This window comes from Homo sapiens, chromosome 20 (assembly GCF_000001405.40).
Source record: "Homo sapiens chromosome 20, GRCh38.p14 Primary Assembly".
Lineage (NCBI taxonomy): Eukaryota > Metazoa > Chordata > Mammalia > Primates > Hominidae > Homo > Homo sapiens.
The window spans coordinates 46,323,974-46,342,801 of NC_000020.11; the positions used below are offsets into that span (position 1 = coordinate 46,323,974).

The following is an 18,828-nucleotide window of genomic DNA, read 5'->3' on the forward strand; positions in this document are numbered from 1 at the left end:
CTCTGGATCTGCCTCTGGCCTCTCTGCTTCCCTTCTAAGGAGGAAGGGAAGGAACCTGAGTCCCAGGCTCTGGTCCTGACAGGGCTGGGCAACTTTAAGTGGGTGCCCGCTCTTCTCTGGGCTTCTGACTTTTCATCTGTAAGGTGAAATCTTTGTTGCTTAAAAGGGCTCCTTACTTGAGTTCCAGTCAATGAGGTCAGCCGTTGCCCTAGGTGTAAAGGTGGGGACAGGGTAGTAGGTGCCAAATCTCCTCCCACCACTGCCTACACCCCCACCCCCCACCCTGGAATGCTAGCCTGTCGGTGTGGCAGTGACCTCCAATATCGGTGGTGCCAACCTACCCATTTTATAGATGGGGAAACTGATTTATAGAGATGGGAGTGGAGGTCACATAAGGGATCCGAGCCTATGCATTCTGACCCTTGGCCAAACTCCTCTTTAGTCAGCCTTACCCAGGCTGCAGGGGCAATTTGGCTCTAAGGCCACTTTGTTTGGGACTGAGGGACCACAGGCACAGGACAGGCAGAGGGAGCAAGAAGTGGATCCCACAACAGGCTTGTGGCTCTGGCATTCGGCCACTTTTCTCTGTCATCGTAACTGTAAATAAGGCATCTGGGAGTCCTCCCAGCACTTTAACAGATTTAACAAGCAGTAGCATGCGACCCGCAGTCCAAATGGATTTTTTAATAATGAATAAGCATTTATTTAACAAGTAATAACAGTTTTACCACCCTCCGGATCCTCGGAAGTCCAGAGGTCTTGCATTAACGCCTTACACAGGCATCTTCTGCTGCTATCTTTTGTCCATTTTTCTGGTTGTTTTTCTCTTATTGATTGGCAAAAGCTCTTTGTATATTAAGGGTATTAACCCTTTACCTGTGATATGCAAATATTTTAAGTCTGTATAATTATTAAGTTTTCCTTAGGGCATATAGAAGTTTAAATGTTTTATGTTGCAAGGTGTTTTTTTGTTTGTTTGTTTTTTGTTTTAATTTAGAGACTTCTGAGTTTTCAGAATTGCTTGTGAGCCTGAGGAAACCTGTGGCTCTGTTGCAGAAATCCTCAGCTGAGTTCAAACACAAGAGCCCTGGCCATGGAGTACAACTGTGGGTGAATGCCTCTCTTGAGACCTCGGTGGCCTCCATATAATAATGTGTTGAAATAGACAACCTCTCAGCTGCCCCCTGCAGGAATGTCCCATGATTGTAAGATGGGATTTTGCAGGGAAGAGGCTGCAGTGCACTCTGAGAGAGGTCCCAGCCATACAGTCTTTCACAGGTCTATCTCCCCCACCACTTCCAGCCCCTTTGAGAACAGGAACTGCGTCTTTTCATTGCGCTGTCCTTAGCACCTTGCAGAAGGCTGCCTGCCTCATAGTATGCCCTCAGGAGAAATTTACCCATCTGCACTGCTGATTGTACCTGGAAGTGAGCCCTGGCTCCATTTCATGCCCCTGTCTAGAGGTGGTAGAATGGAGTGGATAAGACAGTGTGCTCCCTGGGTTTGGATATTGACTTTTGTTTGCTGGCTGTGTGGCCTTGGGTAAGTCGCTTCACCTCTCTGAGCATGTTTCTTCATCTGTAAAACTGGGGCAAGTCCTCCCAGAGCTGTCTGGCAGCATGAATGAAAAACTGATCTAGCAGCCAAAACACATGATTCCTGCCATGTCGTGGGCAATCAATACACGTCAGGCCTCTTGTATCTCCACTGCTGAGTGGAGTGCATTCCATCTTGAGATGCTAAAAAATCTTCAGTGTTCCCACAGTTTGGGTTCCAGAGTAGACCCTGAGAAATGGATTCAAGGGCAAGTAATTTATTTGGGAAATGATCCCAGGAAGCACCAGTAGGACAGTGGGAAAGTGATACAGGAAAGGCAGGCAACCAATACCGGGTGCTTTATCAAGCCTGTTACTACTGTGGGCAACTGGAGCTCAACTCTGCTGGGGAATTCTGGGAGGGAGAATAGGACTCACATCACAGAGCAATCCACTCCCATTCCCCAGCAAAGGGTGAGGGAGGAGCTGGGGTACTTATACTCTGGCTTCAAATAGTCATCAGTTAAGAGCTGGACATTAATTTCCTGACTCTTTCAGTCTGCCCACTGGGAAGCAAAGTGGCTCTGGAGGCCTGAGAAAGGAACTCAACCAGGCATGCCCTGAAAGGCTAAAGATGAGGTCCTGACACCTTTTTGGAAGGGCAGGTGAAGCAGACATCTCAAGTAGGATGGCCCCAAAAGATTTAAAGGTAGGATTCGGTGGCAGAAGGGGAGTTAATGGGGCCTGATTCTTTGTTGCTCTCCACTCTGATTGCCACCTGAAATTGATAGCTGGTACCAAAGGGCAGTAGTGTCACCTTTCAATAAGATGAAATCTATGTCTCCAGCGGATGGAGACGACAGGAAGATTTATCAAGGCCCTGGCAAAATTAACATTTGGACGGGGGACACGGCAAGAACAGCCTCCAGAGGGGGTCTCTTTGCATTTATTCTGGCTGGTTCCTGCCAGCGGCTGGACTGGAAAGAGCTGCAGGGGTCAGCCATCCAGCTGGCCTCTCAGGGAGGGACGCCTGGACAGACAGATGCAGACACCCAGGGCAAAAGGAGACTGGAAGGAGAACTGTCATCTTTGCTGAGCAGGGAGGCCACCAGGGCACTTGGAGCTGAGTCCTTGCCCTGCCACTCACTTGTTGAAACCCTTTGCCTCAGTTTCCCCATTTGAAAGACAAGGGTATTGTGCTCAATGCTTCTAGCTCTGGCAATCTCTGAGACCATGACACAGAACAAAGCTCTGCCCGGGTGCTATCCCAGCAGTCTTGGGAGGTGAGCATGAATACATCCACAGAATGATGGCTAGCCTGGGTTGAGTACCTATTACGTGTCAGGCACTGTGATAAGTGCTTTACTTGTACTTCCTGTAATACTTACAATAGCCCCATAAGGTAGGCACGGTGGTTTCTGCATTTTGCCTTTGAGCTCAGAGAAGCCAAGTGACTCACCCAGGACTACACAGTGAGTTTGGGGCCAGGTAGACATCGAAACCCAGGTCTACCGGTTCCCAGTGCAGGGCTCCTTCCACTGTAGTCATCCTGGGTTCCAGTTCCAGGCCCTCTGATACTGAACTTCCAAAGGAGTCTCAACTTCTCTCTTGCACAGGAGGATGTATCCAGAGCTCAGGTTCTGGATCAAGATAAACCTGGGTTTGAATCTCAGCTCAATCAGGTCCTTGCCGTGTGGCCTGGCCTGAAACATTCCACGGGAGCCTCTGTTTCTTTGTAAAATGGGCATTGGAGCCATGTCTATCATGAAGATGACATGAGGCAACATGCGTAAAGGGCCGGTCTCTAGGGTCACTGGGAAACAGGCTTCCATGTACGGCCTCCTCCCCTCTCCATTATTCCACTGTGGACTTGCAGAGCTGTGTGGTTTGCATCTGGGGCACATGTGGGAATTAATTTGTGCTAAGGAGGTGAGGTCCTCCCTCCAGGTGAGCAGTGTGGGACAAGGGACCCCAGCAGGCCTGGAGGATGCTGGGACAGAGGCCTCCGCTCAGAGAAGGAGAAAGGCAGGGCCGATGGAGGAAAGGCAGGTGTTGGGAGCAAGTTCCCCTGCCCCACCTCAGACACTTGCACTGAATGCGCCCTCTGAAGCCCCAGCCTTCTACCCTGGAAACACCCTGGGCCCTGGGGTGGAGGAGAAGGAAGGGAGCCCTTGGTGGGAGCTACAGAAAATTAAAGCTAAAAATATGTCTGGGTCAGACCTCAGTTTCCCCATCGGTGAAATGGGTGCAGGCAGTAACACCCCCACCTTAGGCCTATTTGAGCGTAACGGGGTTTTTAAAGTTGGGATTCTAGGCCCCTCACAAACCTGAAAGACATTCACTGTGGGTGCTGTCTGGACTCTGAGCAACTTACTTAACCCCTCCATGCCTCAGTTTACTCGTCTGTGCAATGAACGTAATCATACTTAATGCACTGGGCTGTTGTTAGGATGAGGGGGTGAGGAGTGCTGTCCTGAATAGCACTAAGAACAGTGTCTATGTCTAGGAAATGCTATGCAAATCATGGTTGTTGTTTTTATTACTAATATTATTAATATCATTATCATCATCTCAGGTGAGGGAATGCGGGGCCCGGAGAGGGGCAGAGGCTTGGGAAGGCCACATGATGGTCAGGACTGTAGCCTAGGAGTCTGGCCTTGGACCACAGCCTCAGCCCAAGTCCTCAAACATCCCCTCCCCCATCAAGGCTGCCACATCCCCCTCCCTCACCAGGGAGTGAGAGGAGGCCCAAATCCAATTAGCCTGGGAGCCAACTGCAGAGCATCGCCCCTTTAATATCGCAGGAGAAGCTGCAGAGATAAATGAGAAATTAGAATTCCGCTGGGGTCCCTGAGACCCGCCTGCCGGCCCGCCCTGGGCTGGGGCTGCGGCAATTCTCCTAGGGACCCAAGGAGCTGTCTGAGCCCCAGTGGAGGAGGTGCCCCTGAGGGGCCCTGGGCCAGTGCCTGAGTTTCTCCTTAGGCCTGCCAGCCGCTCCTACTCCCAGCCTCCCATTGCCCACCCACCTTCCCCGCTGCCGCCATCCCACTCCCCTCCCCGTCAACCATAGAATTCACCTTTCCTCTCGAGAGACCCATTCCTCTCCTCCTTCCACAGCCCCTCCCTCCCAGTATCCGAGGGCATCAGGGCAAGGTCTAACCCCATTCTTGGCACGCCCCCGCTTCCCCTTCCCACTCCCCTCCTCTCAGTCCTAACAAAACCCAGGATCCTTCCCTCCTTGGGCTAGGACTGACTCTGCAGCTGAGGCCTCTCTTGGGCCTGGGGGATTCTGGGGAGGACATCACTAGTCCCCCTCAAGGAAGAGGAGGTTCAGGGTCTGTAACAGGAGCTCCTCCTGAGCGTTCCAGAGTAGGTGTGCAAATGAGGCATCTGCAGCCCCCTCCTCTAGAGGGTAATGGGCTGTCATACAAAGCCGGCAGGTCACCACCACAGCCCTGCTGTGGCCTTCCATAGCTCCCTGTCTTGCACAAGACTCAGTTTCCCCTTATGTACAATGGAGAGGGGCTGACATAGGTGCAGGCCTAAGATCTTGGCTTGGACACTTGGCCCAACCCTGGGAAGCAGGCAGGCCCCCCTATCATCAACCCAGCCCACCCACCTGCCTCCCTCCCTCGGGGGACATATTTGCTGCTGGGAAAGTTAATCCATTACAGTTTAAAGGCTCCGTTCCTCGCTGGCAGTAAATTACCTGCTTTGCATTTTGCAGCAACAACTTAACGGTATTAATTTATTGTGCTCTGTCTTTAACAAACATCATTATCATATTGCCAGCCAGGATTATGCAAATGGGAGGGACAAGGGAGAAAGAGGCTGAATCTTGTCCCCAAAGTCACCTTGATTTATTAACTTTGGGGCCCTGCAATTGGCCAGGTCTGGGAGGTGCAGGTGAGTGCAGAGGCCAGGAGAACCCACAAAGTCTGGGCAGAGAGAGTCCTGAGGCCAGAGGGGGACTCCCAGGGGAGGGCACCCTTGGAGGGAAGGGCTGGCTGGGGCTTAGAGGGATTCCCTTGTCAGGTGACTTTGGACAAGTCCATTCTGTCTTGGGCTTCGGTTTCCCCACCTGTAAATGGAGGTTGAATTAAGAGGTCCCTGGAGCTCATAACATATGAACTTGAGATTCAGCAATACATTGTGAATGAGTGAGAGAGAGAGAGAGAGAGTTTATGTGTTTGGGCAGGGTGGGCTGAGTAGAGAAGAAGCCACGTGGTCCTGGGGCTGCAGTGCCCCCATGCCGGGCTCCCTGGCTGCTGCGGCTCCTGAGCACCAGGCTAGTCATGGATGGGCACATGGTGGGAGATGGGTGAGCTGGGGCTGAGAAGAGAGGGGTCTAAGGGAAGGGGCTACTTCTGGGCTGAGAGTCTAAAGGCTGACGGCAGGGGTCAGTTCATGAGAGGGTCTGAGACTTTTAGGCTATACACCAAGATGCTGGGTTGGGAAGGGGAGGCAGGACCATGCCAGGCTGGGAGGCAGCACCCTTTAGCTCCTGATTTTGCATCTGGCCTGGGGGCTGGGCTGGCTGGAGGTCTACTCATGGGGTCCTAGGCCTCCGCACAGCCTCCGGCAGCTCCTCCTGAGCCTCCTGGACTCTGAGTTTACCCCGAGAGACTCTAGGTTGGGCTGCCAGGGGAGCTGGAGGCAGGTGGGCTGGGCCCCCCCTCTGCCCCTCCCTGTGCGCCTCCTCCCTTGGGCTGGCTGTGGTGAGAACCCGCCTGATTACACAGCTGGCTGCCCCCGGCCACTGGGCCTGCTCCCCACCACCTGCAGACTGGCTCTGCCAGGAACTCACTGGGACTACATCCAAGCACCCGTGGGCGCCAGCCCAGGGTTCTGCCCTGGCCATCAGGGTCCTTCCCGGGCCCTGCAGAGGCGCCAAGGTGGGAGCTGGAGAGGGGCCAACAGAGAGGAGATGACACCAACCTGGCTGGCCAAAGCTCTGGCCTGGCGGGTGTGGGGTGGTGGGGAATTCCACGGGGAGGGTGGCACCCCCTGTCTACTGAATTCCTGAGTGGCCCCCTCTGTGGCCCCATCCCTGCCCTGCCTTTGGCATTTTGCCAAACCTGCCCTTGCCTCCTGGTGCCCCAATCTCTGCCTCAGTCTCTGAGCACCCCCACTGCCCCCTCTACTTGCTCTGTCCTGCATCGCTGTCTCTGGGTCTCTCCCTGTCATGGGGGATGGGGCTAGGGAGGGAGCAGGAAGCAGAGGGAAGAGGTATTGAGGGGGCATGGAGTGGGGGAGCAATTCAATTTCCAGAGTTGGCCCTGGCAATACCGGTTGTGTCGTGATAAGAAAGCCATTTCCCGTGATGGCTCCTAATCCACACCCTCCTGCCTTTGCATGCAGCAGCTCCCTTCATCTGCCTGTGGCCAGAGGCTGGAAGGGATCCCTGTCCACTATGGAAGGGGCCATGTCTGCTCCAAATGAACCATGCTGAGCAGCATCTGTGTGGCCGGGACAAAGACCCATGCCGAAATCTACAAGCCCAGGAGAAGCCGTCAAACCCGATGAATAATCCCTCGGACTGTTCTAAATTCAGATGGACATGCACAGCTGTGATCTAATTTGAGCCATACATCTGCCCTTGAGAGAAGTAGGGATCACTCCCATTTTACAGATGGGGAAAGTGAGGCTCAAAGTGGTTCAGTGATTTGCCCGAAGCTACACAGCAAGTGCGTGTAGAGAGAAGCGCAAGTTGATGTGTGCAGGGCTGAAGTGTGAGGTGAGGGTGCAGTGCGGGAGCCGCAGCCTGGGCTTCGAAGGTCGGGGGAGTAGGGGAAGGAGGGGAAGGAGACAGGCAGGGAGTATGAGGAGAGGTGAGGAGAGGTGTGTGCTGGGCAGCAGCTCGGTGGGAGCCCAGCTAGGAAAGGAGCCTCGGGGTGGCCTCGAGAGGATTTTAGTGCTGTCTGGGCAGGGGGTCTGTGGGATACAGACCTGGGAGGGATGGGGGCATGGTGGTCAGAGAAAGAAGCTGCTGGAGGACACAGGCGAGCCAGGACCACAGTCAGGGAGGCAGCTGTGACTGTCAGCAGGAACACGGGAATCCTCTACGAGACACCTACACCTGAGTCCTGACATCAAAGGGGTTTCTCGCCTCTCCGGTCGCCTGGTTTGGAGCTCAGCTTTCTTGAAAACTTTCTTCCTGCCAGTCTCCTGCACAGGCCCTGGACACTCCTTGGGCTGGACTGGGCCCCTTTTCCAGCCACACCCTTCACTGGCTGGGAGGGTTGCAGGGAGGCCTCGGGCTGAGCCAGGCCCTTCTGCTGGCTCCCCTGTGGCCCGCAGGGGCAGAGGAGGGAGGGCAGCTGGGCTGGGGATTCAACAGGAGGGGCAGTCTAGGTGAAGCCAGCCAGGCCCTCCTGATTTGCTCCCCACCAGGAAGTTTTCTTTGTTTGTTTTGGTTTTTCCTTTTTGTTTTATTGAGACAAGGTGTTGCTCTGTCGCCCTAGCTGGAGTGCAGTGGTGTGATCACAGCTTACTGCAGCCTTGACCTCCCAGGCTCAAGTAATCCTCCAGCCTCAGCCTCCCAAGTAGCTGGAATTACAGGCACGTGCCACCTCGCCTGGCTAATTTTTAAACTTTGTAGAGACGAGGTCCCACTGTGTTGTGCAGGCTGATCTCAAACTCCTGGCCTCAAGATCAAAGTCTTGGCTTCAAGTGATCCTCCTGCCTGCGCCTCCCAGAGTGCTGGGATTACAGGCATGAGGAGAACTGACCAGGAATACAAGCAAGGATGGATCCCGAATCCTGTTTGTCTCCCTCTGCATCCCTACCCCCCACTGCTGACTCCAGAAGGCCTGGTGGGGAGCGGTGGTGGATCTGGGGGCTACAAAGCCGGGCAGGATTGTTTACCCTCTCCCTACCTTCCCCTCACTGGCCCAACTGTGATGGGGGTGAGATGGCAGGCTGGGGCTGTGGGAGGCTCCCAGAACAGCTGGTGGCTGTGCAGGGCCGTGGGTGGTGGCAAGTGGGGACCTGCTGGAGCAGGCAAGCTAATCTCATTTGGTTGCTGCAGTCGCAAACAAGGACTGCATGCTAAGTGGCCAGAGGCAGCAGCGGGACTCAGGGCCGACCCAGGCCCCACGCATACCTGGGAGCACCTAGAGGCCAGCCCTGGTTTGAATGAGGAGCCATGTTGGGCAGGGGCAGGGGAATAAGGAGGGGGAGGATGCGTCTTGTGGGGTAAGAGGTTACTCCCCGGGAAATACCTGCTGGGAGATAGGGCGCCAGGGTCAGCCAGCTCCTCCCAATCCTCTGGCCTCTCCTCCTCTAGCCCTCCTCCTGTAGGGTCCTGGATCAGATGCCACTGGGCAGGAGGCATCTGGAGAGCAAGCTTCATCCCCTTTGCCAGCAGAATTGTGATTGGAGAGAGGGACCCGCCTGTTCACAGCAGAGCATGAGGGAGGCATCGGGGAAGGTGCTGGAAGAGGGGAGGGGAGGGGGCTGGGGGAGCCTTGAGCCTCGAGGCCCTGCCCAGTCACTCCACTCCTCTGAGCCTCTAGGGGCTTGTTTAGAGGCAGGGCCAGGGAGGTGCAAGAAGATGCCCTGGCTGTAAAAAGGTGATTGGGCTTGCGACTCTTGTGAAATGGTCTGAAACTATCTTTAGCTTAGATGGGAGTGCCAGGCTTGCAGGGCCCAGGTTTGGCAGATGAGCCAGGCCAGAAGCCAGTGCCCTGAGGGCTTCCTGACTGCCACCCACACTCTCCGCCCGGCTGCCACTTCTCGGAGCAGCTGGTACCATCAGCTCCCAGGGAGAATCCTGAAATCACACAGGTAGCTCTGGTCTTTGGGCAAAGGTTTGTGCTCTAGACGTGGGTGGCCTGAACTTGGGGCTGCATCATGGTAACAGATGGATTTGAAGGCAGAGCTTGCAAGGGAGTCCAGATGGCCACAGCCACCATCCAGGTCTGTTTTTGGTACTTGCTGGGCCCCTGTGGGCAGCTCCATTTGCAACCCCTTTGGAGCTCCTTAGCTCAGGTCTTGCTGATAAAAATAAGCCCTGCCAATCACAGGGGGCTTGAACCACTCTGTGACTCAGCTTCCACATCTACCCCTGAGGGGCTGCTAATGAAATGAAATGAGGCATCTCAAGTGTCCTGCCCAGAAGCCGGTGCAAAGGAAGTTCTGTTTTCGTTTTGCAGCATCTCAGCCCAGTGTACCACAATGTTCTATCATTACAGTCTGATGGGCCTTTAGAAAAACGGCTCTGCTTCACTTGCTGTGTGACTGTGGGCAAATATCTTCACCTCTCTGAACCTCAGATTCTCCATCTGTAAAGTGGCAACAATAATACGTACTTTATAGGAATGTTGTGAGGAGCTAAAGAAGAATATAAGCAAACTTGAATAAGGCAATAAATATAAACACAGAACAGTATCCAGTTGGCAATAGGTGCTTGATCAATATCTGTTGCCTGTGCAACACTTTACTTTTCAGGGGGATACACTGAGGTCCAGAGAGGGGAAAGAGTTCATCCAGGATCCCAGCTGGATCAAAGGTCTCCTGATGTCTGCTGGAGGAACAAGAGAGAGGAAATCCCTGGCCTTTTGTTTCACCAACTGTAAAATGAGAGGGCTTCACCGATCTATGGTTTCCAGCTGGGATCTGGGCTCTCGGGGGCCACTGTTGGAGTCAACACCAAGCCCGCGGAGCTCCGGGACCACCTTTTCTGGTTCTCAGTCCACGTCTCTTTCACTCGTGAAGGGCTGCGGAAGGCTCCACGTGAACAAACTTCCTGCCGCTCAGCCTTGAATGTGTGAAAGCCCCCTACTTGTTTATTTTCAGGGCTCCTGGCAGCGCAGACTCTCTGGGACAGGGATTCCTCCCAAGACCCCTGCCCAGGTAGACCCCCTATGTCCTGGCCTGGGTCAGGGTTGGCTCAGCTGCCTGGAGTGGGTGAGCAGACCAGAAGCATGACCCTGCCCCACCCCCAGCCAGCTGCAGCCCGGGCCTGGGATGCTGGTTCCGCCAGCAGTTAAAGTCCCCCTGGTTGTCTAATTTAATCACAGCTGTGTGCACGGTGACTCTATAAATAATTTTTAGTGCGACATAACCATTATTTCACTAATTGCTTCACGCGCACCCCTGGCCTGTGAGATAAATTAAGGTTTGCTGAGTCAGCACCTTTGGCTGATGCTGCTTTGGGGTTTGGAAGTACAGCCCCAACAACTGGGCTGTTCCCACACCAGCCTCAGCCCAGCACTGAGGGGAGGGCGCCCCTCACGTGAAGTGGCCAAGGGTAGAATGAGTGAGGAGGAATGAGGAAAGGGCTAATAAGGGTGGCCATGTACAGTTGCACAGGTTGTGTCCTGCACCAGGGTGCTTGGCTAAGGGGGCAAGTGGGGGCTGAAATCCAGCCCATACTACACTTTTGCAATCCATGTGCTCTGACATGGGATTTTGTTGGCCCAGAAGAAGGTGGTACCTTCTTTTAATTTGCACAAAGGCTAGGAAGGAATCAGCAGCTCCAGAATGAACTACCACATAGCAGGTTGTCAGGGCCACCTCTCTGAGAGAGGAGGCCAGGCAGAATATCCTTAAGGATCTTCTCATGTTAGCAACAGCATGGAGACCCAGGCTCTAGATCTGATGCTGAGTGACCTGGGCAAGTGACCTTCCCTCCTCTGTGTTTTAATATCTTGACAGTTTGATCCCATCCAGAGCCTGTGTTCTTTCCTCTGCCTATCATACTCCAAATTCAGTAGGTGTGGCTGGAAAAAAAGGTTCACATGGTCAAGTACATTTGAGAAACATCGAGTTAAGTGGTTTCTTTCTGTAGAAATTTTCAGAGAGCCTACAGTGTGTTCAGGAGCAGCAGACTTGCAGGGAGGGGTGGAGATGGTGTAGCTTTTCCCAGTGCATTTGGCTGTGGAATCCTTCATTTTAGGACTCTTATTCATCCTGGGATCCTAGTGTCTATCTCTGGGCTTATTAGTGAGTGGATGTCATCCCCAAGGACAGAGAACGCTCCTATTCCTGGCCATAACTCTAGACTCAAGGCACTTCCCTATCTGTCATCTAGATCTGATGCTGAGTGACCTTGGGCAAGTGATGCAAGATTGCGAGTGGGCAAGATTGCTAGATCTTGCCTTCCTTCTTTGAAGGAAAATCTAGCAAAAATAGGTCTCCCTTCAAATCGGTGAAGTGTGGGGGGAGCATCCTGAGTCCACGGGACTCGAAGTTCCTTGAGGGCAGGTGCTATGTCTACCTTATTTATTGCCAGTTCCCTGGGGCTTAGCTTGGGACCATCTCTTGAGTGAATGAATGAGTGTCTATTTTGAAAAGAGACAGGAAAGGAGATAATTGGCTTCATATCCTGCCCCAAACCTTACTGGCTGGTGACCTTTGAGCAGATTGCTTCTGAGAGTCCAGTGCCACCACAGCTCTGTGTCTCTTTTGTCAAATGTAGATCAAGGACCAGATATGGTGGCTCACGCCTGTAATCCCAGCACTTTGGGAGGCCAAGGCGGGTGAATCACCTGAGGTCAGGAGTTCGAAACTAGCCTGGCCAACATGGTGAAACTCCGTCTCTACTAAAAATACAAAAATTAGCCGGGCATGGTGGTGCACACTTGTAATCCTAGCTCCTTGGGAGGCTGAGGCAGGAGAATCGCTTGAACCCGGGAGACGGAGGTTGCAGTGAGCCAAGATCGCTCCACTGCACTCCAGCCTGAGCAGCAGAGTGAAACTCCGTCTCAAAAAAAAAAAAAAAAAAAAAATTAAACTCTCGGTACTTCAGCCATAAAAAAGGAACGAGATCATGTCCTTTGCAGAGATACGGATGGAACTGAAGGCCATCATCCTTAGCAGACTAACGCAGGACCAGAAAACCAAATACTGCATGTTCTTACTTACAAGTGGGAGCTAAATGATGAGAACACATGGACCCAAAGGGGGAACAACACATACTGGGGCCTGTTGGAGGGTGGAGGGTGGGAGGAGGGACAGGAGCAGGGGAAAATAACTAATAGGTGCTAGGCTTAGTATCTGGGTGACAAAATAATCTGTACAACAAACCCTCAAGACATGGGTTTACCTATACAACAAATCTGCACTTGTAACCCCTGAACTTAAAAGTTAAAAACTCTCCATCCTCTCATTCCTAAAGTGCTGAAGTGAGGCTCAGATGCAAAGACGGTTGTGAGTGAGTGCTCCTTCCACAGTGTGAAACACTTGACAAATGCAAGGGATTAATCCTATGATCTGTATCCTCCTTGGTTCCCTCTCTGGGCTGGGCTGTGATCACGTATTCCAAGCTGCTGTTGACTGAGTGCTGACCTCGGGTCAGGGCCTGTCCCAGAGGTCTTTCACACATTCTGTGCACACTTGTCCAGTAACCCTCACAGCACTGTGAGAAGAAGGGATTACCTTTGTTTTATGAAAAAGAAAAGTGAGGTTCAGAGAGGTGATGTGGTTTACCTGAGGTCACACAGCTGTAAACTGCAGAGCTTGGGATTTGAATCCAGACATGGTTCCAAAACATGTCTTTTCTCTTCATTCCCAGCTTATTGGCTCCCAGGTTACCACCTTATTCTCCCCCTACTCCGTTTTGGGCAGGGTGTTGAGGCAGGTTATGCAGGGATGCTGGCTTCAGAGGACTACTGGCCTCCTTGTCAAGTCATTTTGCTATTTTCACAAGGACAAGGGCAACCATTTGTTGAGCATCTACCATGCATCTGGCATTGAGCTGGCTGCTTTAGATCTGTTATTTTCCCACATTAAATCCTCACCCAAAATCTATGATGTAGAAAAAACCACTCTCATTTTAGAAAGGGACACTGAGCTGGGCGCGGTGGCTCACACCTGTAATCCCAGTGCTTTGGAAAGCTCAGGTAGGAGGATCACTTGAGTCCAGGAGTTATAGACCGGCCTGGGCAACATAGGGAGACCCTGGCTCTACAAAAAGCTACAAAATTAGGCAGGCCTGGTGGTGCATGCCTGTAGTCCCAGCTACCTGGGAGGCTGAGTGGAAGGATCGCTTAAGCCCTGGAAGTTGAGGCTGCAGTGGGTCAAGATTGCGCCACTGCACTCTAGCATGGGAGACAGAGTGACACCCTGTCTCGAGGAAAAAAAAAAGGAGACCAAGGCTTGGAGTGGTTATGTGACCTGCTCAACCGCATGCAATTAGTAAACAAGCAGCCAAGCTGAAATTCCACCCAAGTGGGTCTGATCCCAGAAGCTGGCTATTTCCCTGGCTTCTCCTTCGTGGCCCTGAATATCCAGCCCCAGTTGGGGAGGGGTGACCTGTGGCTCCTGGGTCCAACACACTGGGTCTGTCTGCAATAGCTGCCGTGGAGACGTCCCCGCGGTGCATCATGACCTCTGGGGCTCTCCTTCCCCAGAGCCCCGTGGGCCCTGCCCTTGGTGCCTGGCACACTATTACTGCCTGGGAAACGCTGAAGAATGATGACAGGGCTGTAAGCCTGGCTTCTCCAAGTTTCTGCTTGACCTCCAAGGGACCAGAGGAGGAGCGGGGAGAGCAGGGAGTGGAGTGGCTGCCGACATCCACAGCTGATGCAGGGACTCGTGTGTGCCTGGGCCTCCCTCTGAAAGCTGCCTTTGGAAGGTGGTCACAGCCAGTCTGCTCACGCCCCCAGTCACGCCACCTATTAGCCTGGCTGCCCTGGGCACAGTGACCTCTCCCAGGCTGGCGTCCCCTCCCAGGGTGAGTCCATCACCACCAGTCACAGCCGAGCTCCTGTGCTTGGCTTTCAAGGCCCCTCGCATCTGCCTCAAGCCTCCCTGTCTTTCCAGCCTCCTCTATTGCTTATTCATTTATTTAAAAAATATTTGTTGATCAACTATGTGCCTGGCAGATGTTCTAGGTCCTGAAAATACAGCAGAGAACAGAACAGATAAAATCTCTGCTCTTCTGGGAAAAATTGACAGAAAGCAAGTTGACGAATAAATGTATGATGTTGGGTAGTGAAAGGGACTTATAAAAAAAAAAAAAAAAGAACCAGACCCTCCCCCTGCCCCAAGGCATCTAGAGATAGAATTCAGGGGGTCAGTGAAGTTAGAGGAGGAAAAAAATTATATTTTTATCTCACTAACCTGTAACTAAAATATCGCATTTTTCTTCAATTATAAATGTTGGCAACATACCACGGTAGTATTAGCAGTGCCTGTGACTTTGTCACCAACAGAAATCAGATATTTCCTATCACATTACAGTTGTTGCATACATTTTGAAACATCATTGACACTCATCACTGCTTCAAAATTGTTGTGGTTAATAGAACTGCCACGAGATCTTGTTATTTAATGCATTAATAAAGAAGTGCATCTAGTACTGTATCACTCATTTGTTTTGTAAATATTTTGAAAACGATTTCTATATAATTGGCTGCCTTGATAAATCTATGTATTTTCGTCTATGCCTTTAAAATCATTATTCTGAGAAGGGCTTCACCAGGGCCAAGGGGTCCATGGCCCCAGATGCATTAACTCCTGGAGTGGAGATGGATGGGGAGGAGGGGCGGGTTTTTAGCTGGAGTGGTCAAGGAAGCCTCTCCGGGGAGGTGGTATTTGATCAGCAACATAAAGTGGGCAAAGGAGCTGCCATGCGAAGATTTGAGTCAAATTCATTGCAGGCAGAGGGAACAGCAAGTCTAAGGGCTCTGGGGTAAGAAGGAACAATGAGGCCAAGGTGGCTGGAACAAAGTGACCAGCGAAGGGAGAAGACAGAGAGGCGCATGGACCACACATGATGTAAGGTCTGGCTTTGGTGAGGACTCGGGATTGTATTCCCAGCAAGGTGGGATGCTACGGAAGGGTTCTGAGTCAGGCGTGATGCATTCAGATTTCTCAATTAGAAGGATCCCTTTGGCTGTGGGGCAGAGAATGGGGCACTGAGTAGTGGGTAGGAGGGGAAGCAGGAAGACCAGGAGCTAGGGGTCTGCAGCATCCAGTGAAAGATCACGTGGCTTGGAGCAGGCTGAGACTGGAGAAGTGGCCCCATTCAGGATGCATCTTGAGACTGGAGCCTGCAGAGCTTATGAGGAACTAAAAGAGCCATTAACTTTCACCCTTCTGCTTTGGCTTATGCCACTCCTGGAACTCGCTTTCCTGCCATCTCCATCCTCCAGCCAGCTCTCTCCCTGGATTCTTCACCCATGTGGCAAAAACTGCTAGTAGCCTCCTCTTTTTCCATTTCCTTACTAATAGCCCCCAATATTACCTGGGGGAGCAATGTGCCCAGCTCAGAGGCCAATTCTCCCAGCCTCCTCTGCAGTGACGGGTTGCTTTGGAGATACTGGAGCTGTCATCTGGTGGGGTTTCCAGGAACAGGCTTTTTATAGGAAGCTGACTCCTTCTTTTGCCCCTCTTTTTCCTCCCTGGAACATGAACAGGATGGTTGAAGGTCACTTTCCCCAAAAGCATTTTGGGACCATGAGGAAATCACAGTGACCTTGACCCTGATATTCTTGATATCAAGGTGGGGCTTTATGGAGTCAAAAAATTCTAATTAGGTTTTGTTATTAGCAGTAGAATAAAATTCCCACCGGGTACAACTACAAATTTAACTGCTTATTGGACATCTCCCTCAGAATAACATAGCCCCCCAGACTCATTGTGTCTAATTCCGGGTCTGCCGTCTTTGTCTCAAGTAATTTCTTTTCGGGGAATCCATATATCTGTAAGAAAAGAGAACTAATAGGCCGGGGGCGGTGGCTCACACCTGTAATCCCAGCACTTTGGGAGGCTGAGGCGGGCAGATCCGAGGTCAGGAGATCGAGACCATCCTGGCTAACACGGTGAAATCCCATCTCTACTAAAAATACAAAAAATTAGCTGGGCGTGGTGGCGGGCACCTGTAGTCCCAGCTACTCGGGAGGCTGAGGCAGGAGAATGGCATGAACCCGGGAGGCGGAGGTTGCAGTGAGCAGAGATAGCGCCACTGCAGTCCAGCCTGGGCAAAAGAGCGAGACTCCATCTCAAAAAAAAAAGAAAAGAGAACTAATAGTTTAAGAGCTGCGTCTATTTACCCATCTACCACTGACCCTCCCACCCACCCATCCTTCATCCACTTCTGTTCATCTGGGCATGCATCCATTCAACATGCTTTTATTGAGCACCTACTATGCACTGGGCCCCGTGCTAGATGGGGGGCTGGAGGTATGAATAACATATTTTTTTTTTGAGTCTCACTCTGTTGCCAAGGCTGGAGTGCAATGGTTTGATCTTGGCTCACTGCAGCCTCTGCCTCCCAGGTTCAAGCAATTCTCTTGCCTCAGCCTCCTCAGTAGCTGGGTTACAGGCGTGTGCCACCACACCCAGCTAATTTTTGTATTTTTTAGTAGAGACGGGGGTTTTGCCATATTGGCCAGGCTGGTCTTGAACTCCTGACCTCAAGTGATCAACCTGCCTCGGCCTCCCAAAGTGCTGGGATTACAGGCGTGAGCCACCGCACTCGGCCAATATATCTTATTTTAGGCCCATCTGTGTCTATATAAGCAGAATATCTCTAGAAGAATCCACCAGATGCTGGGAACTAGGAGTGCCCCTATGGAGGGAAACTCAGCACCAGGACACATGGGTTTTTATTCCTTTTGAATCTTCTGAATTCTGTATCATGTGTATGTTTTCACCCTCTAAATGTTTTTAATTAACAATATATGTACATCTCATTCGGATCTTCAGAATTTGCCTTGCTCCTGAAAGGATTTGAGGCAGCTTGTTAGAATACACAGAGATGAATAGACGCAGCCCTGCTGTCAGGGAGCTAACAGTCTCGTGGGTAAGAGAGATGAATAAACAATTCCAATACAGCGTTGCAGGAGGGGCAGAGGGGTGCAGACAACAGGCCACTTGGCATGCTCTTGAGGGATCATGGGGCTGCACTCAGCCACTGCCCCTGAGTAATGACCTGACACGGCCACCTTCTCCTTGCCCCCGTCTGGGCTTGAAAACCAAGATGTTCACATTTGGAACATACATGATGGAGACACCCCCGTCCCTCCCTGCCCACTCCCAAGTTCAGGCACTTGTGCTGAGCTGACCCCTAAGTCACCAAGCACCACAGTGCCCCTGTGCCCACATGTCCAGGTCGGGGGTGGCTGCAGTAGCACGGCGTGTTGTCTCTGTGTTTCTGCTTGCCCTGCGGATGAACGCACAGAGCGCATGAGGGAGGCTGTCTCCAGCGCCCTGATGTCCAGCACAGCTACAACCCCTTTTGCAGCCTCAGGCTGGGAAGTGGGGATGGGGGCTGAGGGAGGGCAGGAGCTGGGATGGCATGGCGGGGACGGCGGAGAGGACCAGCCACGCTGCTTGGAGAATGTGGTCTTTTCAGAGCAGCCCTTTGAAATCGAGCAAGAATAACTTTAAACAATAAGATGCTTCTCTCTCCCCCTCAGTTGTTGCCCAGGCAACGCCAGAGTGCTCAACAACTGTTTAGTTTTTTAAGAAACCAAATCTCCCTCCCTTTGGTCAGCTACCGCCAGGAAGATGAAGAGGCGGTGGCGCTGCCCCTTGCGGCCCATTGTGTTGGACCCGGGTCAGCCGCCTGCAGCAGTGACATTTAAATCTGATGCTACATATTATATATGAACCCCGAGCCGCACTCCTTCACGACTTGTGCTCCCTAACCGGGGAGGCTTCAATCTCCCACCCCAGACTTCTTGCCCGCTTGTGGCTCTGGCAGTCCTGGGGAGTCACAGCTGAGAGGCTGACCTCTGCCTGGCAAAGCAGCTGGGAGCTGAGGAGGACATTGGGTGGTGATCCGTCCCCAACCCTCTGCATCACGGACCCATGAGAGCCCTCATCAAGCCAGCAGTCACCTCATCCACCCAGGCAGTGTTTAACCCCCAGCAGCTCTGCTAAACTGTTTTTGAGGGGCCTTGACCTCTGCACCAGCAGCTCACCTGTTTTACATTTGCCTGCTCAAAAGGCAGATTGGTGCCCTTTATCTCTGTAGGGTCTTCCACAATCCAGCAAGAGACGTTTTTTGTTATCCCCAGTTACAGATAAAGCAGCCCAGGTGCAGAGAGCTCTGAAAGCTGACTACGAGATGTCAGGCACTTCCAAACGGAAGCCCTGATGGCCGCCCACGGAGCCAGGTGCTACCTCAAGCCCATTCCTCCAGAAGTGGAAACTGAGGTTCCAGGGGTTAAAGTGATGACCAGTGGGTATGGCAGGATTTGGACCTGGGCCAGCCCAACTGCAGGGCCTTGCGTCTCATCCTACACTGCCTTGGTGAGACCCTGTGACTCAAGGACAGATGGGCAGATCTCTCCTGGCTCCCAGGCTTGGCCAGTGTGCCCTCCTAGAGTGGGGATCG

The 18,828-nt window shown here is 52.4% G+C and overlaps 1 annotated feature.

The window, feature by feature from the left end:
- Positions 13,550-14,051: an enhancer, noted in NCBI's record as "H3K4me1 hESC enhancer chr20:44966161-44966662 (GRCh37/hg19 assembly coordinates)". NCBI's record gives its function as "activates a minimal SCP1, AML or CMV promoter by ChIP-STARR-seq in primed H9 embryonic stem cells {active_cell/tissue: H9 hESC(primed)}" and the evidence as "EXISTENCE:reporter gene assay evidence [ECO:0000049][PMID:30033119]".